Source organism: Homo sapiens, chromosome 13, assembly GCF_000001405.40.
Source record: "Homo sapiens chromosome 13, GRCh38.p14 Primary Assembly".
In the NCBI taxonomy this organism is placed as follows: domain Eukaryota; kingdom Metazoa; phylum Chordata; class Mammalia; order Primates; family Hominidae; genus Homo; species Homo sapiens.
The window spans coordinates 22,883,905-22,911,090 of NC_000013.11; the positions used below are offsets into that span (position 1 = coordinate 22,883,905).

Sequence of the window (27,186 nt, forward strand, 5' to 3'; positions counted from 1 at the left end):
AGAAATTGTGCACTCAGGGAGCTCAGATTTTGAGGCAGTAGCTTGCTGATGCTCCCAGCTGAATAAAGCCCTTCCTTCTACGACTCGTTGTCTGAGAGGTTTTGTCTGTGGCTCGTCCTGCTACATTTCTTGGTTCCCTGACAGGGAAACGAGGTGACTGATGGATGGCCGAGGCAGCCCCTTAGGCAGCTTAGGCCTGCCCCGCGGAGCATCCCTGCAGGGGACTCCGGCCAGCCTGAGTGACGCGATCCAAAGAGCGCTCCCGGTTAGGAAATTGCCCCCATTGGAACGCCTTGCCAGAGCAGCACGTAGCAGGCCCCCGTGGAGGATCCACACAGTGGCTGAACACTGGGAAGGAACTGGCGCTTGGAGTCTGGACATCTAAAAGTTGGTAAGACTAGTCTTTGGAACTTGCCCCACTCCATCTGAGTGGAAGCGTGGCTTGATCACCCACGGTGTGCCTGCATTGGCACTTTTGTTCTGGATTTGACTTGATTTGAATTGCTGGATACTTTGGTTTGGTTTTGGTTTTGACTTGGCTTGAATTTTTTGGTACTCGGATTTTGAATTTCGTGATTTTGGTTTGGCTTAAACGGTAAAAGTGTGTGTTTGCCCTCTTTGCCCGTTCTTTGTCTTGTGGTGAGTGTGTGTGGTGTGAGCGTGGTATTCTGTCTTGGAGAAAAAAAAAATTTTTTCAAGAAAGAACTTAAGGGAGATTACAGTGCTACTGTGACACCAGGAAAACTTAGAACTTTGCGTGAAACAGACTGGCCAGCATTAAAGGTGGGTTGGCCATCTGAAGGAAGCCTGGACAGGTCCCTTGTTTCAAAGGTATGGCACAAGGTAACCTGTAAGCCAAGGCACCCAGACCAGTTTCCATACATAGACAGTTACAGCTGGTTTTAGACCCCCTTCCCCCCTACAGAAGTTAAGAGAACAGCAGCATGAGCAGCTGGCAGAGGCAAGGAAAGACCAGCAGAGAGAAAAAAAAGACCATCTATACCAATTCTAGGTTAATTTAGACTAAACAAGGTCTTATTAATAGCAAAGGATAATTGAAATCCCAAACTTACAAGGTTTTCAACAAAAGTGAAGTTTGCTAAAAGTTAAAAGTGTAGCATGTATTATGGTAACTTCTAATCTTGTGGCCTTAGACAGTCTAGTCCAAAGACATAAAGAAAATTCGCTTTAAAAAAGGGGAAAAAAGGGGGGAGGCAGAATTTATATAAAAAGAATGTTATATGGTAAATTCTTGTCCTGAAATAAATTAACTGATTGTTTAAAGAAAAAAAGTTTGTAATAAGTCAGAAAGTTAAGACATGTTAAAAAATTGTCTGTGAAAGTTGTGAAAGAAAAAATGTTATCAAAAATTTTATGCAAAAAATGTTGTATAACTTAAAAGTAATAAGGCCTCCTGAGTACTACTGAAGAAACAGTTTATGTGCAAGGTGTATAAAAAAATATACCTTTGATAAAAAGATTATAAGGAGGCATAAGAATGTGAATTTTTACCTACATTAAAAGGTTAAAAAAATATTGTTTTAAAAGTTTAAGCAAGTTTTAAAACGTTAATTGTAAAGAAAATTCTGTGTGTAAACATATTAACTAAAGTTAAAAAGGTATCATCCAGTTTTTCTGTAGACTAGACATTAAAGTAAAAATGCAACAGATTTTTCTTAAAGCATCAACCTGCTCTTTAACAAAAATTATAAAAGGTTAAAGAGTCTATAAAATCTTACCTTATAGTCAAACATGAAAAATTGGATAAATATGTCTACAAGGTTTTATTAAAATTAAGTTTAACATTAATAACACACTAATATAAAGATAAAATTTAGCTTCTCTGGTATAAAAATCATACAAGAAGCATTATTAAATATAAAATGGTGTTTAGCTTTCTTTGGTCTAAAAACTAACAAAAATAGGTGCTAAAGGAAGCATTCATTTTACTAAAGGATCATAGAAGTTAAAGACTTAAAACAAACTTTGGCAATTAAGACAGGATACCAAGATGCAAATGCCTGGATGAAATGGATCAAATATTCCATCTGCACGTTAAACAAAAGCAATTGTTATGCTTGTGCACATGGCAGGGCAGAGGCTCAGAATGTCCCCTTTCCACTAGGTGGTCCTCCAGTCGACCAGGTGTGGGCTGCATGGTAGCTCTTTTCCAGGATTCTACAGCCTGGAATAATAAGTCATGCCAAGCTCTCTCTGCTATATTCCGAAGTCCCTGGGGGCAGCCACCGAGGGCCATCCAGCTTCCATCTCCCAACACTAACTTCACTTCGTGTCTCTCACGGCAGGGAGGAGACTTAGCATTCCTTGGAGACCTGAAGGGATGCAGTGAGCTTAAGAATTTTCAAGAGTTTATCAATCAGTCAGCCCTTGCTCATCCCCGAGCGGATGTGTGGTGGTATTGCGGTGGACCTTTACTGGACTTACTGGACACTCTGCCGAATAACCAGAAGTGGCACTTGTGCTTTAGTCCATTTGGCTATCCCTTTCACCCTGGCATTTCATCAACCAGAGGAAAAAAAAAATAAGACATCATAAAGTGAGAGAAGCCCCTTATGGGTCTTTCAACTCTCGTATATATTTAGATGCAATTGGAGCCCCGCAAGGAATACCAGATCAATTTAAAGCTTGAAATCAAATAGTTACAGGACTGAAGTCAATATTTTGGTAGATGACAGTCAATAAAAATGTAAATTAGATACACTACATCTATTACAACCAACAGCAACGAGCTTTTCATGAGTTAAAAAGAAAAACTCATGTCGGCCCCAGCCCTGGGGCTACCTGACCTGACAAAACTCTTTACACTCCATGTGTCAAAAAGAAAAAAAATGGCAGTTGGAGTTTTAACCCAGACTGTAGGGCCCTGGCCAAGGCCAGTGGCCTATCTCTCAAAACAACTAGATGGGGTTTCCAAAGGCTGGCCCCCATGTCTAAGGGCCCTGGCAGCAATGGCCCTGTTAGCATAAGAAGCAGATAAGCTAACTCTTGGGCAAAACCTAAAGTCCCCCCATGCTGTGATGATTTTAATAAATACCAAAGGATACCATTAGCTAACGAATGCTAGACTAACTAGATACCAAAGCTTGCTCTGTGAAAATTCCCGCATAACCACTGAAGTTTGCGACACCCTAACCCTGCACACCTTACTCCTGGTATCAGAGAGCCCAGTTGAACATAAACTGTGTAGAGGTGTTAGACTCAGTCTACCCTAGTAGGCCCAACCTCCGAGACCAACCTTAAACATCAGTAGACTGCGAGCTGTATGTGGATAGGAGCAGTTTCGCCAACCCCTGCAAAGTGACTCTGAAAAAGACGACAAGCCCTGCTCCAGTCGCACCCGGAAGCTGACTGGTCCACGCACGGCCAAAACATGAGGAAACTCATCGCGGGACTCATTTTCCTTAAAATTTGGACTTGTATAGTAAGGACTTCAACTGACCTTCCTCAGACTGAAGGCTGTTTCCAGTATATACATCAAGTCACTGAAGTAGGACAAAAGATTGCTACAGTCCTATTATTTTATAGTTATTATGAATGCCTAGGAACTCCAAAAGGAACCTGTTTGTATAATAACACCCAATACAAAGTATGTAATCCAGGAAGTGACCAGCCCGATGTGTGCTATGACCCCTTTGAACCTCCTATGATCACAGTCTTTGAAGTAGGACTGAGAACTGGTCATTCTCTAAGTGACACAAGTAAAGTAATAGCTAGAACAGAAGAAAAAGGGGTCCCAAAAATGTAACCTTAAAATTTGACGCTTGTGCCACTATTGATAGTAAGCAGCATGGAATAGGATGCGGTTCTCTAAATTGGAAAAAAAAGTTACACGGTAAAAAAAAAAATAGGTATATCTGTCCAGAATCATATGTGAGATGTGTCAATACTGGTCTTGTGTCATCTGGGCTACTTGAACAGAAGATAAAAAAGATCCTGTTTGGCTCCAAAAAGGAAAAGTCAGCCCCTCCTGCACAAGTGGGAGCTGCAACCTTTTAGAAATGATAATCACAAACCCCTCAGAACCAGAATGTAATAAAGGAAAATATGTATCTTTAGGCATTGATGGAAAGGGACTAGATCCTAGCGTGAACATCCTAATAAAAGGAGAGGTTCAAAGACACTCTCCAGAACCAGTATTTCAGACTTTCTATGATGAACTAAATGTGCCAGTACCAGAGACTCCAGGAAAAATCAAAAATTTGTTTTTGCAATTAGCCGAGCACGTAGCCCAGTCTCTAAATGTCACTTCATATTATGTTTGTAAAACAACTGTAATAAGAGATCAATGGCCATAAGAAGCCTGAGAATTAGTGCCTACAGACCCAGTTCCTGATGAATTCTCAGCCCAAAAGAATCACCCTGATCATTTCTAGGTTCTAAAAGTTTCAATTATTGGACAATATTGCATAGCTAGAAAAAAAAAAAGAATTCACTCATTCTGTAGGATGACTTAGTTGCCTAGGACAAAAACTATAATAGTACCACACACACACAAAACAGTTACATGGTGGAGCTCCAATTACACAGAAAGAGATCCATTCAGTAAATTTCCAAGGTTGCAGACTGTCTGGGCTCACCCAGAATTTCACCGGGACTGGGCTGCCCCCACCGGGTTATACTGGATATGTGGACACAGAGCTTATGCTAAGCTGCCTGATCGGTGGACAGGTAGCTGTGTAATTGGCACCATTAAACCATCTTTCTTTTTACTGCCCATAAAAACAGGTGAACTCCTGGGCTTCCCTATCTATGCTTCTCATGAAAAATGAAGCATAGCCATAGGTAATTAAAAAGATGATGAATGACCTCCTAAAAAATTATATAATACTACGGACCCCCCACTTGGGCACAAGATGGCTCGTGGGGATATCGGACCCCCATCTACATGCTCAACCAAATCATATGGTTACAAGCTGTTTCAGAAATCATCACTAATAAAACTGGTCAAGCCTTGACTATTCTGGCCCGGCAAGAAACTCAGATAAAAAATGCTATCTATCAAAATAGATTGGCTCTCAGCTACTTGCTAGCAGCTGAAAGAGAGGTCTATAAGACATTTAACCTTACTAATTACTGTCTATACATAGATAATCAAAGGCAAGTAGTTAAAGACATAGTTAAAAATATGACAAAACTGACACATGTGCCTGTACAAGTGTGGCACGAATTTGGCCCTGAAGCCATGTTTAAAAATTAGTTCCCAGCACTAGGAGAATTTAAAACTCTTATAATAAAAGTTATAATAGTAATAAGAACCTGCTTACTGCTCCCTTGTTTACTACCTGTACTTCTTCAAATGATAAAAAGCTTCATCACTACCTTAGTTCACCAAAATGCTTCAGCACAAGTGTACTATATGAATAACTATCAATTTATTGCACAAAAAGACATAAGTAGCAAAAATAAGAGTGAGAACTCCCACTAATAAAAAGTGAGAGTCTCAAAGGGGGAAATGAGGGAAGAGAGAGACCCTCTCATATTGTTTTATACTCAGTACCTGTTTAAAGAAAAAAAACAAGGACATGAAATCAAAGACAGGCAGCCTGATGCCAGGCCCAAAACCAGGCCTGGGCCTGCCTGGCCTAAACCCAGTAGTTAAAAATCAACTCATAACTTAGAAACCGATGTTACTCATAGATTCCCAACATTGTATAAAAGAACATTGTGCAACTCCCTGCCCTGTTCTGTTTCTCTGACCACCAGTACATGGAGCCCCTGTCACGTACCCCCTGCTTGCTCAAATCAATCACGACCCTTTCATGTGAAATCTTTAGCGTTGTGAGCCCTTAAAAGGGACAGAAATTGTGTACTCGGGGAGCTCAGATTTTGAGGCAGTAGCTTGATGATGCTCCCAGCTGAATAAAGCCCTTCCTTCTACAACTCGGTGTCTGAGAGGTTTTGCCTGCAGCTTGTCCTGCTACATCCCAAGTAACTGGGATTACAGCATGCACCACCATGCCAGGCTAATTTTGCATTTTTTTTCTTTTTTTTTTTAAATAGAGACGGGGTTTCTCCATGTTGGTCAGGCTGGTCTCAAACTCCCAACCTCAGGTGATCCACCCACCTCAGCCTCCCAAAGTGCTGGGATTACAGGCATGAGCCACCGTGCCCGGCCTAGATCAAATCTTTTTTCACTGTCTCAGTTATAATTTTTCTTTCTTTTTTTTTTTTTTTTTTTTTTTTTTTTTTTTGAGACAGAGTCTCGCTCAGTCGCCCAGGCTGCAATGCAGTGGTGCGATCTTGGCTCACTGCAAGCTCTGCCTCCCGGGTTCATGCCATTCTCCTGCCTCAGCCTCCCAAGTAGCTGGGACTACAGACACCCCGCCACCACGCCTGGCTAATTTTTTGTATTTTTAGTAGAAACAGGGTTTGACCATGTTAGCCAGGATGGTCTCGATCTCCTGATCTCGTGATCCACCTGCCTCAGCCTCCCAAAGTGCTGGGATTACAGGCGTGAGCCACTATGCCTGGCTGGTTATAATTTTTCAATAGCAGTTTCATAACTTTAAATTCATGACTATTACAGTATTCATAAATAATCTAGGTAAATAATTAAAATAGATAATTAGGCAAATGTAATGGGAAAAATACTTGTAGACAAACTGGTCATAATTTAGAATATAAAGTTATATTAAATTAAATAATAGATGTTTCATTACTTGGGTATTTTCCAATAAATATATATTGCAGGAAAACATTCTTGCTAAAAAAAAAAAACAAAAACAGAGAAGTGTGTCCTTTTAAAAAGAAAAGTGAAAAATTTATGTCTAATTCAAAGCTTATTTAAACATTATGTATAAAACAAGGTAAATGGAACCAGGAAATAAAAAATATGTAAAGAAAGTTGTAAAAATAAAGAGGTATTTTTCTGAGGTAAAAAAAGCTTGAAGAAAAATAATTTTATATAAGAAAAAAAGTCTTGTGCCAGGCACCAAATACCCGGCATCATAATTGTTATGTTAAAATTATTGTGTGCCACAGAGGCAACAAATTTCCTTGTCAATTGTGCCTTTCGACTATGGCTGCCTTAAAACTTTTTTTTTCAGCCGGGCTGGTGGCTTACGCCTGTAATCCCTGTACTTTGGGAGGCTGAGACAGGCGATCACGAGGTCAGGAGATCAAGACCATCCTGACTAACACGGTGAAAACCTCATCTCTACTAAAAATAGAAAAAAATTAGCTTGGCATGGTGGCGGGTGCCTGTAGTCCCAGCTACTCAGGAGGCTGAGGCAGGAGAATGGGGTGAACCTGGGAGGCAGAGCTTGCAGTGAGCAGAGATCACACCACTGCACTCCAGCCTGGGCGACTCAGGGAGCCTCCGTCTCAAAAACAACTTTTTTTCATCCATGGACAATTGTTGTCTTGTTTTGGTCCTCTTTAGGAGGTGGTTTTATAATCAGCTATAAAACTCCAATAGGTGCTCTTGAATGCAGGTTTCTGATAACTTTGGAGATTGTGACAACAGAATAGAGGAAGAACCTTCAGGACTCATGGAGAGCTAAATGTTCATGAGTATCAAGCAGGAATTAACAGGAATTAACTGCATGGACTGAACCAATCTTTTTTACTTTTTGCTCAAAATATTTGCTGGTCCTTTGTTTTGCGTTTCCGAGTCTTATGACTTTTCTTTTGAGCTACTGACAGATTTTAACAATTTAGTATACTCCTATGAACAAAATTTGTGGCATAGTTGTTTCTATCTGATTTATCCAGAATTTGGAAACTATTTGTGAGTATTCTTAACTTATGGCAATACAGTTATTTGCATAAGTGCAGTAAGAATCTGTTTTCATTTGTAACAGGACACATTTGGAGAATTTGGTTATTTTACCAAGGCTTTGACTGGAATCATGTGCTTTCCTTATAAGGAATCAAACTTGACTTACGGAGCCAATAAAGCCCTTGGAAAAACTGGCCTCATATTCTGTATACACAGTCCCTGAACAGGGTTTCTGACTGTGTAAGTAAAGAATATCACTTTTTGACAAGTGCAGACGCCCCAGGTTTATCTTGGGCCCTCAAAAGGAGAGGAAATTTCACCCAACTCATGGGTATTTAATGGCATAAATCCATGGCTCGGCTGGGTTTTACGGGTTTTACAAAGTCTTATCTGAGATTCCTGCTATGGAACAAAGTTCCATCAGAGCCTACTTAAAAGCCTAAGTAAAAAATAATCATTCTTGCTGCATTGTATACAAATAGTTAGGCCAAGTATAATAAACAAACCAATCCTACCATGATTTGTCTTTAGTAATATGCGAAACTGAAGAGAGAAAAACAAATTATCTTCTAAAACAATTGTACACCTGTTGTTAGAGTCTAGTCTTGCCTATTTTTTTTCAATTTTTATTATTTTTCTAGAGTTTGGACTGAATTCTAATTTTTCTTGGCTACAAGCCTTCAAAATAATGTTTTCAATTTTTTTCCTTCTTTTTTTTTTCTCAATTTTTCCCAATTTGGAGTCACTGAAAACTAAGCTATGCTTTCTAAAAACCCTGGGAACTGAAGCCAGACAACTTAAACTTCAGAAAAATATAACATAACCTATTTACGTACATAAGCCACTTTCATACCTGCCTACTATTATGGACTGCAGAGTAATGTGGCCTATATCAATTTTTTCAGGATTGTTCTTTTGTTTGTTGTTTTTTTCATCCCTTCCTCCCCCATATTTTCTCTTCACAGGACATGAGACTTCACAACCTGCTAAAAATGAACTTTCCAGACCTACCAATCTAGGAATAAACCGTCCTAGCCAGGAAAGGTCAGATGACCTTTCCTGAGACTGGAGACTCATTCTGTTGTAAAAATGCTTTCTCCAAAGATGTTAAAAAAGAAAAGGGGAAAATGTGAAAGAAAAATATCTTGGGTCCCTTCAAGATGGGAACTGCTCAGGGCAAATCTGCCTTCTATTCTATTCAAGTCATCCATTTGCTCACAGAGACAGATGCATATTCTGATTGCCTCCTTTGGAAAGACTTATCAGAAACTCAAAAGAATGCAACCATCTGTCTCTCACCTACCTGTTACTTCGAAGCCCCCAATAGGGGGTCTTGCTTTGAGCTGTCTCCGCCTTTCCGGACGGAACTAATGTACTTCTTACATAGTGATTGATGTCTCATGTCTCCCTAAAATGTATAAAACCAAGCTGTGGCCGGACCACCTTGGGCACATGTCATCAGGACTTCTTGAGGCTATGTCACTGGGCATGTCTTCAACCTTGGCAAAATAAACTTTCTAAATTAATTGAGACCTGTCTCAAATTTTGGGGGTTCACAGGTGAGTGGGCTCAGGCATGTGCACTAGTATGACTAAAGGTCATAGACTATTAGACTATTAGTCTATGACCTTCCTCTAGAAACACTCGACTGGTAAGGGAAGAATGCCTCAACTGAGCATGTGCACAACTCCCATAAACACACTTGTGCTTGCGGAGCCTCTCAAGTGCTGGCAGGCCACTGCTCAGGTGGATTCTTCCCTCCTACCCGGAGGGAAGAATCAGGGGAGAAGGGACACAAGCCCCTGAATGCATGCCAACACGTAAAACCTCAAATCAAAACTCAAACCATGCAGTTTAACCTCTCAAGTTGCCCACTTGGCCCTCTTCCAAGTGTACTTTACTTCCTTTCATTCCTGCTCTAATACTGTTTAGTACATTTTCACTCCTGCTCTAAAACTTGCCTCAGTCTCTCACTGTGCCTTATGCCCCTCAGCTGAATTCTTTCTTCTGAGCAGGCAGGAATTGAGGTTGCTGCAGACGTGTATGCATTTGCCACCAGTAACATACTTTGGTGCCACATGACTAGGATATGTTCTCTAGTGCTAACATGTTCGTTTACAGTTCTTAGGACTCCCTGATAGAAAAAAACACAAAAAAAAACACAAAAAAACCCAACCAACCAAACAAACAAACAAAAAAAAAACACAGGAGTTTCTCCCAAAAAGAAGTCTGCAGTGTCTTTTCTGTTTTCTCTGAAGGTATCCCAGGGTGTTAGATTTCTGTTGTTTTTCCCTTATGTGGCACCGAAGTTGGCAAGAAGAAGGAAGTGCTGATATAAATAAATAGGGAAATGAACAGAGAGAGTACATGTGGTTAGCAGGAGTTTAGGATGAGAGAAATTTAGTGGACCGAGAAATAGTCTAAATATCAGTTTTAATTTGTGAAAGAAAAATAAAAACCTGGGACCCCAATTCACTATGCCTAAAGGAAAAAAATTAAGCTAAAAGCTGAATCATGCAAGAAGCTGTTTTTTCCTTTGTTCTTAAGCAGAGCACTACAGATAAAAAGGTGAAATATCTCCCCAGGTAGCTACTCTATGTTCACCTGAACTTATGTAAAGTTCTGATTTACTGAGCATGAGAAGAACACATAATTGACTATTCCTGTACCTGCTCCATTTCTCCTGCAACATGTGGATACAGTAATATGATCATACCCTCCCTTGTTCCCCTCTAGGCCACTTTCCCCTTTAAATATTAACACCATCATAATCATCTTTGGAGAAAGACACCTGGATCTGTCCTGAACCTTGGCAAAAAATAAATAAATAAATAAAAATAAAAAACTCTTCTCAATTGATTAATACCTGTCACAGATACATTTTGGTTTACAAATCAATGAACAATGGAGGGAACTCTGTCCTTAATCTTGGTACGAGACAATGAACCCCAGGTACTTACCCCAGACAACGACGCCGCTTCACCATGATGATGGACAACAGGCAACTTTTTTTTTGGAGTTTCAGCTTGCTTCCAACAGGGACGGTGAGTGTGAGGTTTATTCCCATTTCTAAGACGATAGAAGTTTTCAGCCTAAGCCGTATTCCTAGGTAAGCAGCTGGATTGCAGTTTTGTCTTGGAAATTCTCCTTAATGACTAAAAGTTAAGATTAACAACTAGCTGGTCTTAATTTCTCCTTACCATTAGAGTACCCAGTAATCACATAAATTCTGCAATCATCTGTTTATTTAGCTTAACTGTTTTTTTTTATTTGTTGAAGTTGTTGTTGTTATTTCAGTCTTTTTCTTATTGGGTTGACCAGACTTGGTAAAATCTGTAAGAAAGTTCCATAATTATGGGGAAGATTTCCTCTGAATTGGCTAAATTCCTGTAGCTGAAAAAAAAAAGAAAAGAAAAAAACACCAGCAAAAGTAAAAAAAGAAACATTTTGATTACCTGAGAGGCTTTATTTACATGGCAAGACCACCTTCTGCTAGCCAAACTAAACTAAAGGAGCAATGGTAGTCACCCTATGCAGTAGTTCAGCAGCAAAGATTCTGCCCTTTTTTTTAGCATGACAGCCTGGGTTGGTTGGTTATGAATCAAGTCCTTTCTGGTTTGAGATTTATTTTACCTTTGAAATATCAGCAGCTTTTCCCAGCTAAAATATGGTAATAATATTTAAAAGGATTTTTTAAGACCTCAACAGTTAAAAGGCAGCTTAATTAAAAGATAGTATCCGCAATCCGTGTGTGTGTGTGTGTGTGTGTGTGTGTGTGTGTATGTAAAAGGACTTTATGTTTTTTTGTCTTCTAGGAACGTGTTTTTGTAAAAAAGTTTTTTTCTTCTCAGTCAACTGAATTCTGCTTTTTCTATTTACTTCTGCCTGTCTCTCCTTTCTCTTCCCACCCTCTGCTGCATGAGGCACTGGAAATAATTTTAACAATGGTAATGAGACAAATTATCAAGAAATTGGAGCTGGGATTCCTTAAAGAAAACAGAGAAGATGCCAGACTCCTTCTGGGGGCAAAACCTCTGTTTTTCCTTATGGAACCCTAAGAGTATAAACAAGTTCCTCTCAGATCTTAAACTCCTTGCTTCTATATTTTGTTTTCTGATTTTTTTTAACTGAAATAGTTATTATTACAGGGGCTACTCTTGGGAGTTTAGAATAAGAAAGGGTGCTTAGACACTCAAGCAACATCTTTGTAACAAAGTAACACCATAAAAGCATTATGTGGCCTAGTCCCATGATTTCTCTCTCCTTTTTGGAGACCCAGGATTGAATGTGGGCTGTGCTCAGAGCTCAGAGATCCAGTTAAAACAGAGACTACGTTTAAAACTATCTAAGTGTGATTGGTCTCTTTATACAATCCTGTGGTAGATTTCTGTAATTTTATGTTTGACTTGGTATCCATTTTTTAATCACCCTGTTAACACAACAGATTCTCTCTCTCTCTTTCCTTTGAGAAGTAAATTTTGCTGATTTTCACCTGAGAGTTGTTCCTTCGGTATACAAATTTAGGGCTATCTACCTGACAATTGCCTAGGGTAATGAAACAAATTATCAAGAAATTGGAGCCAGGCAAGGTGGCTCGTGCCTGTAATCCCAGCCCTTTTGGAGGCCAAGGCTGGCGGATCACTTAAGGCCAGGAATTCAAGACCACCCTGGCCAACATGGCAAAACCCTGTCTCTACTAAAAATACAAAAATTACCTGAGCGTGGTGGTGCTTGCCTGTAATTCCAACTATTTAGGAGGCTGAGACAGGAGAATTGCTTGAACTCAGGAGATGGAGGTTGCAGTGAGCCAAGATCACGCCACTGCACTCCAGCCTGGGCCACAGAGTGAGACTGCATCTAAAAAAAAAAAAAATTGGAAGTCTAAAATAAGAGGGGAAAAAAGAGGAGGTCTTACAAATCTAAGATCTATTTCTACCTGTGTGTCTAATACATGTCTGTATTTATGTGTCATGTATATGTTTCATTATCAAAGATATATAAAACAGCTCTAATTATTTGGCCTTAAAGGGAAAAAAGGGGCTTAAATCAAATACTTTATTAGAAAAATAGAAACCTTAAGCCCAAATGCTTTTTCAAGTTTATGTAACTTAAGTAAATTCTTAATAAATAAGCTGGTTTTAAAGTTATTGGTAAAATAAAATTAGAAATATCTTCAGAATTGTCAATATACATTGTTGTTTAGAGTCATTGGTCAGGCAGTTTAACATTTACCTCTACTAGATATTATAAGTTGTCAAAATTTGGCATGAGGTTTATAAAGCTAGAAATGCAGCCCACAAGAGTACTATATTTGTTGGTGTAATTTGTTGATAAATAGGGCATTTGATATCGTTGATTTAATGAAAACAGCTAAATCCTGAGTTAATCCAGGACTTCTTGGTAAAGTTGACTGAAGCTATATTAGATATTTCCCCACAAAAATACTATTTGCATTCTCCCACTCCCTCCCTCCCTTGATGGGACAACATCCTTTATTTTTCCTTGGGCATACATATCATTACTTCCAATTTGAAACAAGTTAGTATAAGAGGGAGAGAGAGAGGAGAGGAGAGGCAGAGAGAGAGGAGAGGAGAGAGAGAGAGAGGAGAGAGAGAAAGGAGAGGAGAGAGAGAGAAAAGATTGAGAGAGGGGAGACTGTTTTAAGTGGTATTATTTTTCCCATAGGCTGTCCTTGTCACTCTTTCATGGCTACAGTTTGATCGGAATTAGCTGCCAGGGCCTCCGCCGGCTTGGGCTCTTCTGCGGAGGCTGTGGGGGCCCGGGCCTTGGGTGTGGAACTAGGGGCTTCCTGGCTGCGGGGGGTCTCCTTGGAAGAGGGGGCAGCCTCCGAGCTGCTGCGGTTTGCGTATCATGCTGGAGCCCGTCACTTATGGTCTCCTGGGTGGCAGGAGCTGCAGGCGCCTTAGTCTTTTTAGGTTTCCCTTCCTCCTTGCTGGGCTCCTCCCCAGTGGTAGGGTCCGCGCTCTTGGCCCGGGCCGTGGTGACTTCGGCAGCTTTGGGGGCCTCGCCGCCATTAGCAGGGACGGGGGCTGCCTGCTCTTTCTCGGGGGGTCAGCCTTGGCCTCTGCGCGCTCTCTGTCTTCTCGGGCTCTTCCTTCGGGGTCTCCTCCTTGGCAGCCGTGGCATCCTTCTTGCCCTCTGTCTCCTCGGCCTTGCCCTCCGCGTCCTGGTCAGACTTCTTGCCCTCCATGGCCTCGGCGGGCTCTGCAGCTGCCTGGGGCTCACTCTCCTTCGGGGACCCTCCTCTTCCCTTGCCACGCCCTCATCCTTCTTGTCTTTGTCCTTGGCTTTCTCGTCGTTCACATTGTAGCCCTTCTTCTTGCTGAGTTTGCCTGTCATCTTGGAGTTTGGCTCTGGGTGCCTGTGCAGCCCCTGGGTGAGCGCGGTGCCCCCAAGAGGCCAGGGTCCCTGGCGGTGTCTAGCTCATGCCTGGCCGCTGGCGGAGGCTCTCTCCTGGCTCCATGGCGGAGGCCAGAGCGAGGAGCCAGTTGTAGTGCTAGCTCCGCCTTTGTCGCAGCTGCCACTACTGCCACCGGGAAAACATTTTTCTTAAAAAATGTGTTCTTATGGCCGGGCGTGGCGGCTCATGCCTGTTATCTCAGCACTTTGGGAGGCCAAGGCGGGCGGATCACGAGGTCAGGAGAACAAGACCATCCTGGCTAACATGGTGAAACCTCGTCTTTACTAAAAATACAAAAAATTTGCCAGGGTGGTGGCAGGCGCCAGTAGTTCGACCTACTCAGGAGGCTGAGGCAGGAGAATGGCGTGAACCTGGGAGGCCGAGCTTGCAGTGAGCCGAGATTGCACTACTGCACTCCAGCCTGAGCAACGGAGCAAGACTCCATCTCAAAAAAAAAAAAAGTGTTCTTATTTAAAGGAAAATTATTTTTGTGTAATTTAAAGGTTATTCATGAAACAGGATAAAAGGAACCAGTAAATAGGAGAGATGTAAAGACAGATACAAATATAAAGAGGTATTCTGGTGTAAGGAAGATTAAAAAGAAAATTATTTTATATGAGAAAGAATCTTGTATGGTAAATTTTTGTCCTAAAATAAAATGACTGGTTATTTAGAAAAGAAGGATGTTTAGAATAAAACAGGAAGTCCAAACATGTCATAAGTGGTTTGTGTATGTCATAATAAGGGATTATAAAAAGAAGATTTATGTGAAAAAAATTTTATGTGATCAAGTTGTCTACAATTACAAGGAAATTATTTATAATAGACTTTCTAGAGATCTATATGAAAAATACACTAATACACTAAGGAATTGGTTAGAACAACAAAACTTTCTTAACATATTATTTTAATAAAATTATGAGATTTTCATTTTTTTTACACCAGAAGTTCAATTTATATTGCATCTTGCTGTTTTTAGCTATCTCACCTTTGAGAAGGACAGCAATGATATCTCTCTCTCTCTCAACTTTGTCAGCTCCTGTAAATTTTTCGTTCAGGTTTTAACTGCTATTGTGGCCTGATACTAAAACATTTTATCTTAAAGTTATAAAGGAAATATTTTCTCCCAGTATAACATTCTGTGCTTTGGCTTTAAATTGTTCTATGAAACCAAAAATGTTCACTTAATGTTTCCTGTAACCCAGGAAACACTCTTCCTATGTCTAACTAGTTCAAATACATTTTCATTAGTTTTGACTTTCAGGTTCTCTAAATAGACTCCCTATATGGAAAAGCAGTCACACTGCAGAGGGTGTTTTTTTTTTTTCTTTGTTTGACTTTTAGTAACTAGACTAACAAAAAAGATTTATGTTTTATCGAAATAAGTCCTACATAATTGTTATTAAGTTTTGATTTACTTACAAAAACTGAGTTACATTTATTTTTAAAGTTAAAGTTACTGTGTCAGGAATTGGTGGGTTCTTGGTCTCACTGACTTCAAGAATGAGGCCGCGGCCCCTCGCGGTGAGTGTTACAGTTCTTAAAGGCGGCATGTCCAGAGTTTGTTCTTTCTGACATTCGGATGTGTTCAAAGTTTCTTCCTCCTGGTGGGTTCGTAGTCTTGCTGGATCACGAGTGAAGCTGCAGACCTTCGCGGGAGTGAAGCTGCAGACCTTCGCGGTGAGTGTTACAGCTCTTAAGGTGGTGCGTCTGGAGTCGTTTGTTTCTGCCAGTGCCTTCATGGTCTCACTGGCTTCAGAAGTGAAGCTGCAGACCTTCGTGGTAAGTGTTACAGCTCATAAAGGCAGTGAGGACCCAAAGAGTGAGCAACAGCAAAATTTATTGCAAAGAGCGAAAGAACACCGCAGTGTGGAAGGGGACTCAAAGCCAGAAGTTCCCACTACTGGCTCAGGCAGCCTGCTTTTATTCTCTTATATGGCCCCACCCACATCCTACTGACTGGTCCATTTTAGAGAGAGCCAATTGGTCTGTTTTACAGAGAGCTGATTGGTCCGTTTTGACAGGGTGCTGATCGGTGCGTTTACAATCCCTGAGCTAGACACAAAAGTTCTCCACCTACCCACTAGATTAGCTAGATACAGAGTGTGGACACAAAGGTTCTCTAAGTCCCCACCAGAGTAGCTAGATACAGAGTGTCGATTGGTGCATTCACAAACCCTGAGCTAGACACAGTGTGCTGATTGGTGTGTTTACAAACCTTGAGCTAGATACAGACTGCCAATTGGTGTATTTACAATCCCTTAGCTAGACATAAAGGTTCTCCAAGTCTCCGCCAGACTCATGAGCCCAGCTGGCTTCACCCAGTGGATCCCGCAACAGGGCCACAGGTGGAGCTGCCTGCCAGTTCCGTGCCATGCGCCTGCACTCCTCAGCCCTTGGGTGGTCAATGGGACTGGGCGCCCTGGAGCAGCGGGCGGGGCTCCTCAGGAAGGCTGGGGCTGGGCAGGAGCCCACGGCTGGGGCGGGAGCAAGCTCAGGCATGGTGGGCTGCGGGTCCCCAGCCCTGCCCCACAGGGAGGCAGCTAAGGCCCTCGGAGAAGTTGAGCACAGCAGCTGCTGGTCCAGGTGATAAGCCCCTCACTGCCCCGGCCAGCGGGGCCAGCTTGCTGCTCCGAGTGCGGGCCGGCGCCCACGCCCACCCGGAACTGGCATTGGCCCGCAATTGCTGCGCGCAGCCCCGATTCCCGCCCACACCTCTCCCTCCACACCTCCCCGCAAGCTGAGGGAGCCAGCTCTGGCCTTGGCCAGCCCAGAAAGGGGCTCCCACAGTGCAGTGGCGGGCTGAAGGGCTCCTCAAGCATGGCCAGAGTGGGCGTCAAGGCCGAGGAGGTGCCGAGAGTGAGCGAGGGCTGTGAGGGCTGCCAGCACGCTGTCACCTCTCATTATTACATCTATTTAACTTTGTGTTGCTTTTGAAATCCTTGTGCTGTTAAGTTACAGGGCTTTGACTCCATTGATTCCTGGGTCTGAAAAAGACACCAAACCCTGCTAACTTTTAAACATTGACAGCAGTTAAAGCCTCATCTTCAGACCCAGGAGAAGATGACAGTCAAAACAAAGTGTGTTTATAATAAGACACAGGGACAGAAATTAAAACTCTTCAACTCCCCAATCCCAGGGACTACTGCAGAAGAGGTGAGCACGTGAGATTGTAAGGGCCAATTTTGAGAAAGAAAATTAGTTCAGGGTTTCTCTATAAATTAAACATTAGTATCAAAGGTACACTGATGCAAGACCAGCAACTGGGCCCCTGTGTCAGATTAATATGGCTTTTGTGGAGCATTAATCCACTTTTTTAAAAAATATAAAAGGTTATAAAAAGGCTTATTGAATTATATCTTTTAGTCAAGTTGTTTAAAATTTAGTAGATTTATTTATAAGATTTGAGAGACATTTAATTGGTCTTGACCTAATGCTATCTTTATTAGAGCTTACTGTTTGGGAAATTAAGTCTCCTGTCTCAAAGTATAAAGGGTTTGGCCATTTATTTTTACATCTTTGAGTTATCATTTTGGCTAAATGAATGACTTATTTATTTTACAATGACCTGTGATCCTATTTCGTGATATCCTGTGTTTTAAACTTTTCATATTTGACAAACTTTCTAAAATCAAATACTAAATTCAGTCCTTTTGACCTCACTAATGTTTTGATATTAGGTCCCCTGAAGTCCAAAACAGACATATTTGGCTTATTTTCTACAGAAAAAAATTATACAGGAAGCATTGTTAAATATGAAATGGTGTTTAACCTACTTTGGGTTATATTTACATAAATGTGTTATTAGTGTGTGTCCTAAAATCATAGAATATTCCTGTGATTCTGATATGTCTCAATATATGTTGTCAGTAGTAATTACGATTATTATGTGTAAAATTGTCATATGCCACAAAAGTAACCAAATTTCCTTGTCAGTTGTGTCTCTAACTATGGCTGCTCTACAACTTTTGTCATCTACAATTGTTGATTACTTTGATCCTTTCATAGTGTGGTTTATAATCAGCTATAGAACTTTGTGGAATTCACATTTAGAGACCGTGTAATTGAAATGGAGAGAAAATCTTCCAGGACTCTCATGGAGAGCTGATGTTTTCATGAGGATTCCTGATCCAATATTGACCAGAAGTTAACTGCATGGACTGAACTAACAGACAATTGAAATAATCTTTTATGACTCTTTGTTTAAAACATTTGCTGATTTTGTTTTTCAGAGTCAAGAAACCTTTTTTATCTTTTAAGCTATTTACAGCTTTTAACATTTGAGTAAAGTATATATATATATATATATATATATATATATATATATATATATTTATATTTTAATTGAGGCAGAGTCTCGCACTGTCACCTAGGCTGGAATGCAGTGGCACAATCTCAGCTCAATGCAACCTCTGCCACCCAGGTTCAAGTGATCCTCTCACTTCAGCCTCCTGAGTAGCTGGGGTTACAGGCACCTGCCACCATGCCCAGCTAATTTTTGTATTTTTAGTAAAGATCTGGTTTCACCATGTTGGCCAGGCTGGTCTCGAAAACCTGACCTCAAGTGATCCGCCCAGCTTGGCCTCCCAAAGTACTGGGATTACAGGTTTGAGCCACCATGGCCAGCCTGAGTAAAGTGTACTCTTATGAGCAAAATTTAAAACACCTTCTCCTGTGAAAGAAAAATAACACCTTGGGACCCCAAATTCATTATGCCAAAGGGAAAGTTAAGCTTGGGAATTGAGTCATGCAAAAAACTATCTTCCTTTTGTTCCCAAACAGATAGCTGCCATTTCACATGCTTACTTTATTTTATGTAACGTGCAGGTTTACTGAGCATGAGAATAGTGCTTAAGTAACTTTTTCTTATACTACCTTCTTTGCACATTTAAAACTGTTGGGAGCAAGCCCCCCAAAGTCTGGCCATAAACTGACCCCAAAACTGGCCATAAATAAAATCTCTGCAGCAATGTAACATGTCCATAATGGCCATAACACCCATGCTGGAAGGTTGTGGGTTTACGGGAATGAGGGTAAGGAACACCTGGCCCACCCAAGGTGGAAAACTGCTTAAAGGCATTTTTAAGCCACAAACAAAAGCTGAGCAATCTGTGTCTTAAGGGCTTGTTCCTGCTGCAATTAATTTGGCCCATCCCTTCTTTTCCCTTAAAGGATACTTTTAGTTAATTTAATATCTATAGAAATAATGCTAATGACTGGTTTGCTGTTAATAAATATGTGGGTAAATCTCTGTTCGGGGCTCTCAGCTCTGAAGGCTGTGAGACCCCTGATTTCCCACTTCACACCTCTGTATTTCTGTGTGTATGTCCTTAATTCCTCTAGCTCCATTGGGTTAGAGTCTCCCCGAGCGAGCTGGTCTCGGCAAGTGGCGTCCATTCGTGGAGGCTCGAATCCAGGTCAAAGGGTTGCTGGAGCGACGGTTGGAATGGAAAACTAGCTGGAAGACACCCAAGTACTCTTAAAGCAATCCCCGTGGTGAGTAAGAAGGGGAGCTTTCTGTTCCCAAACAGATAGCTGCAATTTCACATGCTTTATTTTATGTAAAATGCAGATGTACTGAGCATGAGAATAGTGCTTAAGTGACTTTTTTTCTACTACCTTCTTTGCACATTTAAAACATAGACTCACTGAATGCTAATCAAACGTCACAAGAATGTAACCACTTGCCTCATTGCCTATCCTGCCTCTTTTTCTTCACCCCACCCCCACCTCCCCGCTTGCTCTTTCCTATTTAAATATTGAAGTTCCCAAAACCATACTTGGAAAATGCATGGATCACAGATCCTACAGTAACTTGCATCTGTTTCCTAAGTGTGTCCTCAACCTTGGCAAAATAAACCTCTAGTCAATTGAGATCTGCCTCAGTCACTTACTGGTTTACATTTTGGCAACAAGGGAATTATCTGACTGGAGTTTGGCCCTGACCTGCAGCAACTCTCCTATCAGGGCCCTGGTACTTGCTGAAGCTCTTTATCACTTTGACCAATTGGACAATTGGCTGAGGTCTGGAGGCTTCTTCCTCCAGAGATTGCTGATCTCACAAAAGTTTGTGGTTGAGATCTGAGGTTTACTCTGCTGAAGAGCTCCTTTTCTTAGAGTTTACTGCTTCTATGATGAAGAGCAATCTTCAGCTTGGTCCCCATCTCCAATAACAAACTCATTTGGAGTTTCATTTTGAGATTTGGTAGCTGAAGATCAAGGTTTACTATCAGCTGGCTCTGACCTCTTCTTATGCTCAGAGATCTTGACTGTATTTAAACTGTGTGATCACTTTCTCAGCTTTTTGGGGTTTTTTTTACTACCTAAGAGGTTTCATTTACATAAAAAGGCTGCTTTCCCAGCCTCTCTCTCTGTGCTATTAATTTAAAATTTTAGAGAGATCTTATTCTAAGTAAGTAATGAAAAGAACAGATTTTGAAAAGGACACATAGCAGTGTCGCAGCAAGCCTTAAAAATTCTCTTGATAAAACTAAGAGCAAACTGTATGGCCTAAAACAGATCTGGTAGTTAAAATTCTGTGACAGTGTTTTCCACCTAAAATGTGCTACAGAGGTTGTGTCTATGATACTATTTGGTTTCATTGCAAGAGTACCAAAAGTAAACTGGGTAGAATCCAAAGGAAATTGTATACAAATCTAACAGTCAGTTTATAGCATTTTTGTTGCCAAATTATAAGTAAATTGTAGGTATTTATTAATATCATTCCAAGGAATGACTAGCAGTGCAAAAAATAGGTACTTTAGTGGTAACAATTATTTGCTAATAATCCAGAACCTACAAATAACAGAAGGAAACAGCACACTCTTAAATAAATAATGGGACAAGGAAGAAACTACAAAGTCAATTAGAAAATACTTTAAGATTATGTAGAATGAGGGCCCAACAAACGAAAATGTATTGAATGCAGTGAAATGGTGCATAAAGGGAAATTTATTATTTAAATGTTTGTATCTAAAAAAGAAGTAAGGGCTCATATAAATAAACCCAATCTTCCACATACAATTCTGGAAAAAGAAGAGCAACTAAACCTAAAGTGAGCAGAAGGAAAGAACTAATAAAATGTTAAGTGAAAAATAAAGGAGAGAATACAAAAACAATAGGTAGAATAAACAAATCTAAAAGTTGGTACCTTGAAAACATCAACAAAATTAACAAACTTTTCACAAGGATGAGCAAGAGAAAAAGAGAGAAGGCTCAAATTATTAAAATCAGGAGTGAAAGGGGGAACATTACTACAGACCTTATGGAAATAAAAAGAATACTGAGGGAATACTACAAAAAACTGTATGCCAATAAGTTAGACAACATAGACAACATTGACAAATTCCTAGAAAGACATAAACTACTAAAGATTACTCAAGAAAAAAATAGAATATCTGAATAGACCTGTAATAAATAAATAGGTTAAATTAGTAATTTTCAAATTTTCCACACACAAAAAAGCTCAGCCCTGGGTGGCTTTAATGCTTAATAAAACCAAAAATTTAAAGAAGAATTAGTACCAATTCTTCTCAAAAGGTAGAGAGGAGGAGCAGACACTTCCCAACTCTTTCTGTGAGGCTAGTATTATCCTGATACCAAAACCAAACAAAGATAGCACAAAAAAGAAAACTACAGAACAATATATTTTAGGAATATATGTGCAAAAATCCTCAAAAAGTACTTGTAGACCAAATCCAGCAACAAATAAAAAGGTTATATTCCATTCCAAGTGGAGTTTGTTCCAAGAATGCAAGATTGGTTTGGCATCTGAAAACCAATTAATATAATATATCAGATTAACAGAATAAAGGACAAAACCATGTGACCATTTGAATAGATGTAGAAAAATGAATTGACAAAGTCCAGCACCCATTAAGGATAGGGGAAAAAACAACTCAACAAACTAGGAATAGAAGAGAACTTTCTCAACATGATAAAGAACATCTACAAAAAATGATCTGAATAGACATTTCTTTGAAGAAGGTATACAAATGACAAATAAGTATAATAACAGATGCTCAACATTATTAGCTGTCAATTAAATCTGAATCAAAATTACAATGATATATCACTTCACAACTGCTGGTATGGCTATAATAAAAAAACAAAGGGATACTATATGGTCCATTAGTTTTACTTCCAGGTGTCTACACAAGAGAAATAAAAACGTATGTCCACATAAAAACTTGTACACAAGTTTTCATTGTACACTATTTTAATAACATCCAAAAAGTGCAAACAATCTAAATGTTGATCAACTGATAAACAGGCAAATAAAACGTGGGATATTCATAAAATGTAGTATTCGGGTAAAAAAATGAAGTACTAATACATGCTACAATATGGATGAACCTTAAAAATATGATGCCAAGTGAAAGAAACCAAATAATAAAAGTTCAATATTGTATGATTTCACTCATATGAAATGTCCAGAACAGGAATATCTATACAGACATAAAGTAGATTACTGGTTACTTATGGCTAGAGATGATGAGAGAACAGGGGAGTGACTGTAAGTGGGTACAGGGCTTCTTTGGGGAATGATGAAAATGTTCTAAAATTAATTGTGGGGATAGTCATACAACTCTGTGAATGGACTAAAAACATTGTATTTATATACACTTTAAATTACTGAAGTGTACAGAATGTAAATTATATCTCAATAAAGCTGATATGTGCATACACACACACACACACACACCCAACAGCAGAAGAAAATACCTAAAAGGTAATGAACAAAAGCATTCAGATTAAAGCATGAGAATCTGAAGGTTTGGTCATCTACATCTTGTTCCATAGATAAGCATAGACTGTCTACTAAACACAGTTGTCAACTTGATCCAAAAATCTTCGCTGGATTCTGTTTCTTTCAAGACTGTTTCTAGAGGGGTCCACAAATAATTATCTTTGAAGTTTCTGATTAGGACATCTTTCCAGGGATTCTAAGATTATTTATGCCTCTTTAATTAAAAGACTTTAAGGATCAATATATTGGAGTTGCCCTCTTGTGTCCATTATTAGCAGTATTTGATATCAACTTTTTCATTCGTGTTCTAGAGCTTTTTCTCTTATTTCTTTAAGTCAGAACACCAGATCTTCAGGTTTACGATCATGCAAGTTTTTAGGAAGATTATGAGAAAAGGTTGCCTGTGCCTGTGGATCATAAGGTTGAATGTGTTGCATTAATTCCTTGCAATATTTCGCAGTATCCATTTGCAATATGTTAGAGTCTACAATCAGAGGTGACATTTGTAGATATTTGTGTAGGCCAGTCTGTTACTAATGTATAAGGGAAGAGTTTATGAACCTCAAAGAAATTGATGGCATTGACATTAAAGCCATGGCAATACCTCGGGCTATGGAATTTTGAAGGTTTCTGAGAGCTTTCCTGATTTTAGTTTCTGAATCTTCTTTTTTTTTTTTTTTAATCTTTCTTGAATAGTGAAGCTGATATGGGCAGTGAAGTTTCTGAGTAAGTGTTAAGGTTTTGTAAAGGTTTTTAATGACAGTGCCAGTACAATGGTTTTTTTCTGTCACTTGAAAAATGGGTTAGAATTTTGTAGGTTGGGAACACAAAATCAAGTAATATTTTTGCTGCCATTGGAACTGAAAGTATTCAGAAAGGAAATGCTTCAATTCAATCCCCAAAATAAATGAACAATGAGAAGAACACGTTTAAAATCTACTGAGTGTGTAGTGATCATCTGTAGTTGTTCAAACGCTCTCTGAAGCTTATGCTCTTGTTCATGTCCCATTTTTGAGTTGTGCCTACATGATGCTGGCAACAGATAAGACATGTAGTTTTAATAAATCACTAACCTTTATATTCTGCTTATTTTTAAATTATAAATTCCATCTGTGTAAATAGTTTCTCTCTTCTTGCACTTTACTAAAAGCAGTTAAAAGAAACCATTCTGAGGCTGGGCACGGTGGCTCATGCCTGTAATCCCAGCACTTTGGGAGGCTGAGGTGGGCGGATCACCTGAGATCAGGAGTTGGAGACCAGCCTGGCCAACATGCTGAAACCCCATCTCTACTAAAAATACAAAAATTAGCTGGACGTGGTGGCGTGTACCTTTAATCCCAGCTACTTGAGAGGCTGAGGCAGGAGAATTGCTTGAAGCTAGGAGGTGGAGGTTGCAGTGAGCCAAGATCACGCCACTGCACTCCAGCCTGGGTGATAGAATGAGACTTGTCTCAAAAAAAAAAAAAAAAAAAGAAAAGAAAAGAAAAAAAGAGAGGAAAAAAAAGAAAAGAAGCCATTCTAAGTTCTTACTGCTTAGAGATTTCTTCATTCGTAAGTTCATTGCTCTTAAGTTCCACCTTCCATAAAGTCCTAGGATATGGACATAATTCAGCCAAGTTCTTTGACACTTTATAACAAGAATGACCTTTCTTCCAGTCTCCAATACCTTGTTCCTCATGTCCATCTGAGACCTCATTAGAAGAAACTTCACTGTCATGACCACTTAAATAATCTCTGAGAAGATTCAGGATTTCCCTACAGCTTTTGTCTTCCGAGCCCTCACCAAAATTGCCCTTAGTGCTCAGTTCATGGCAATTTAGGTTTTTTCTAGCATTAACTTCAATACTGTGCCATCCTCTCTCCCCATTACCTGGTTCCAAATCCACGTCCACGTTTTTAGGTATTTTTCATAACAACACCTTACTTCTCTGGTACCAATTTTTGTCTTAGAACATTTGTGCTGCTATAATAGAATATCTAGCTATTTTAATAACAGAGACTGGATAATTTATAAAGAAGATAAATTAATTCTCTTACAGTTCTGGAGGCTGGGAAGTCCAAGGTCAAGATGCTGACAAATGATGAGAGCTTTCTTGCTGCATCCTCACATGGAAGAAGGTGGAAGGGCAAGAGAGAAGAAACTAATGCTAGGAAATGCCTCTTTTAAAAGGGACTTAGTCCCATTAACAAAGAAGCAGGTCTTATGGCCTAATCATCTCATAAAAGCACCACCTCTTAATACTATCACATTGGCAATACCTTGATTTTGGAGGGGACACATTCAAACCATAGCAGAGACCACTAAGTATAGGGAAGACTAAACCCGAGAACCAAGTGGCCAGAAGCCTGCACTAGCTCAGCTGATTCTGCTATTAGACTTAGATAAAGTATGAGCCTTTTGCTACTGAATCAACAGAAAGGCTGCCCGAAAGCAGTGAGTCTCAGATGCCTCCCATGAAGTTCACACATCACACCAGGGACTTCTACTCATACGTGAAAAGCTAGAGAATCATGTTTAGGTAGGCAAGGGGAGAGAGGTCCTGGACAGGTTATTGAAGGACTGATTTTAAATTACAAAATACCTCTTTATGTTTAGTTTGCAAACAAAAGGAGTCAATTAGTGAAGGCTTGGCTGAGCTGATTTCAGAAACAGTAGGGACCCACTTTTTGCAGTAGTTAGGAAGCCTCAGGATCTTTTTAAATGTATCCTAATTACTAGCCTAGGAAAGTCTTAAAAGAGCTATAGTTTGTTGGGAGAAAGGGATTTGCCTTCTTTAGAAAAATCTATCTTTGGTAATGCACTTGGTTTTGACAAAACCAAGTGCATTGGTTTTGTTACTTTCCTTTAAAAATTCTATCTTTTTAAAACATTCCTGGAACTCATCTGTTCTTTTTTTTTTTTTTTTTTTTTTTGAGATGAAGTTTTGCTCTTGTTGCCCAGGATGGAGTGCAATGGTGCAATCTCAGCTCACTGCAACCTCCGCCTCCTGGGTTCAAGTGATTCTCCTGCCTCATCCTTCCTAGTAGCTGGGATTACAGGTGCCCACCACCACACCCAGCTAATTTTTGTATTTTTAGTAGAGATGGGGTTTCACCATGTTGGCCAGGCTGGTCTCAAACTCCTGACCTTAGGTGATCCACCTTCGTCTGCCTCCCAAAGTGCTGGGATTACAGGCGTGAGCCACTACACCCGGCCTCACCTGCTCTTTAGGATATGGCAGCAGATCATCTATATATCAGATAACAATAGAACCACAGAAAAATTTAAGATCCTTAAAATTCTTGGTTAAGGATTATTATAAAATAGAATGGTATTTCAGTAAATCCCTGAGGCTTAGGAGTCCAGGTACAATGTTGGTTCTCAATTAAAATATAAATCATGTCTAGGGACACTTAGGAACACAGAACATATATTTAGAGCTAGAAAATATACAGCTTCAGACCAGGCATGGTGGCTCATCCCAGCACTTTGGGAGGCTGAGGCAGGTGGATCATCTGAGGTGAGGAGTTTGAGACCCTGTCTCTACTAAAAATACAAAAAATTTGCTGGGTGTGGTGGCACATGCCTATAATCCCAGCTACTCGGGAGGCTGAGGCAGGAGAATTGCTTGAACCCAGGAGGTGGAGGCTGCAGTGAGCTGAGATTGTGCCACTGCACTCCAGCCTCAGCAACTCTGTCTCAAAAAAAAAAAAAATACAGCCTCAAATAGGACTAAAAATAAGATTATATATAAATTTGGTTTTCCAAGTGTATGAGGAATAACTATGAGGCTGAGGTCATGAACAAATGTATATTCTCGCATTGTTTTTTTTTTTTTTTTTGAGATGGAGTCTCACTCGGTCGCCTGGGCTGGAGTGCAGTGGCGCGATCTCGGCTCACTGCAACCTCTGCCTCCTGGGTTCAAGGAATTCTCCTGCCTCAGCCTCCTGAGTAGCTGGGACTACAGGCACACGCCATCACACCTGGGTAATTTTTGCATTTTTAGTAGAGACAGGGTTTTATCGTGTTAGCCAGGATGGTCTTGATCTCATGACCTCGTGATCCACCTGCCTCGGCCTCCCAAAGTGCTGGGATTACAGGCGTGAGCCACCACGCTCGTCCTCACATGGGGTTTTATTATTAGGATGGTAAGAGTATTATAAGGATTGGTACAAGGCATGATGAGTCCTTTTGCTTTTAGGCTTTTGACTTCTGGTTTTAGACTTTCTTTAGCTTCTGTTGTTAGACAACATTGTGCAAGCTTGGTTTTTATAAGTTTGCATGGATTAAACTGA

General features: G+C 40.1%; 2 long non-coding RNA genes and 1 pseudogene across 3 annotated transcripts in view, besides 1 other annotated feature; 1 reads left to right on the plus strand and 2 right to left on the minus strand.

Moving 5' to 3' along the window:
• Positions 1–27,186, minus strand: part of LINC00621 (long intergenic non-protein coding RNA 621) — a 39,978-nt gene that overhangs the window by 7,513 nt on the left and 5,279 nt on the right. Inside the window, exon 2 of the long non-coding RNA NR_138043.1 lies at positions 10,702–11,134. This is a non-coding gene — a long non-coding RNA (long intergenic non-protein coding RNA 621). The remainder of the gene's footprint in view (positions 1–10,701; positions 11,135–27,186) is intronic.
• LOC105370109 (uncharacterized) lies at positions 283–25,155 on the plus strand. The gene is made up of 3 exons (NR_187640.1): positions 283–391; positions 19,506–19,658; positions 24,951–25,155. It is a non-coding gene; the product is annotated as an uncharacterized LOC105370109 (long non-coding RNA).
• Positions 2,763–3,264: an enhancer, noted in NCBI's record as "NANOG hESC enhancer chr13:23460806-23461307 (GRCh37/hg19 assembly coordinates)". NCBI's record gives its function as "activates a minimal SCP1, AML or CMV promoter by ChIP-STARR-seq in naive H9 embryonic stem cells {active_cell/tissue: H9 hESC(naive)}" and the evidence as "EXISTENCE:reporter gene assay evidence [ECO:0000049][PMID:30033119]".
• On the minus strand, positions 13,126–14,277 carry BASP1P1 (BASP1 pseudogene 1; annotated as a pseudogene). The gene has a single exon (NR_033774.1). The product of NR_033774.1 is annotated as a BASP1 pseudogene 1 (transcript).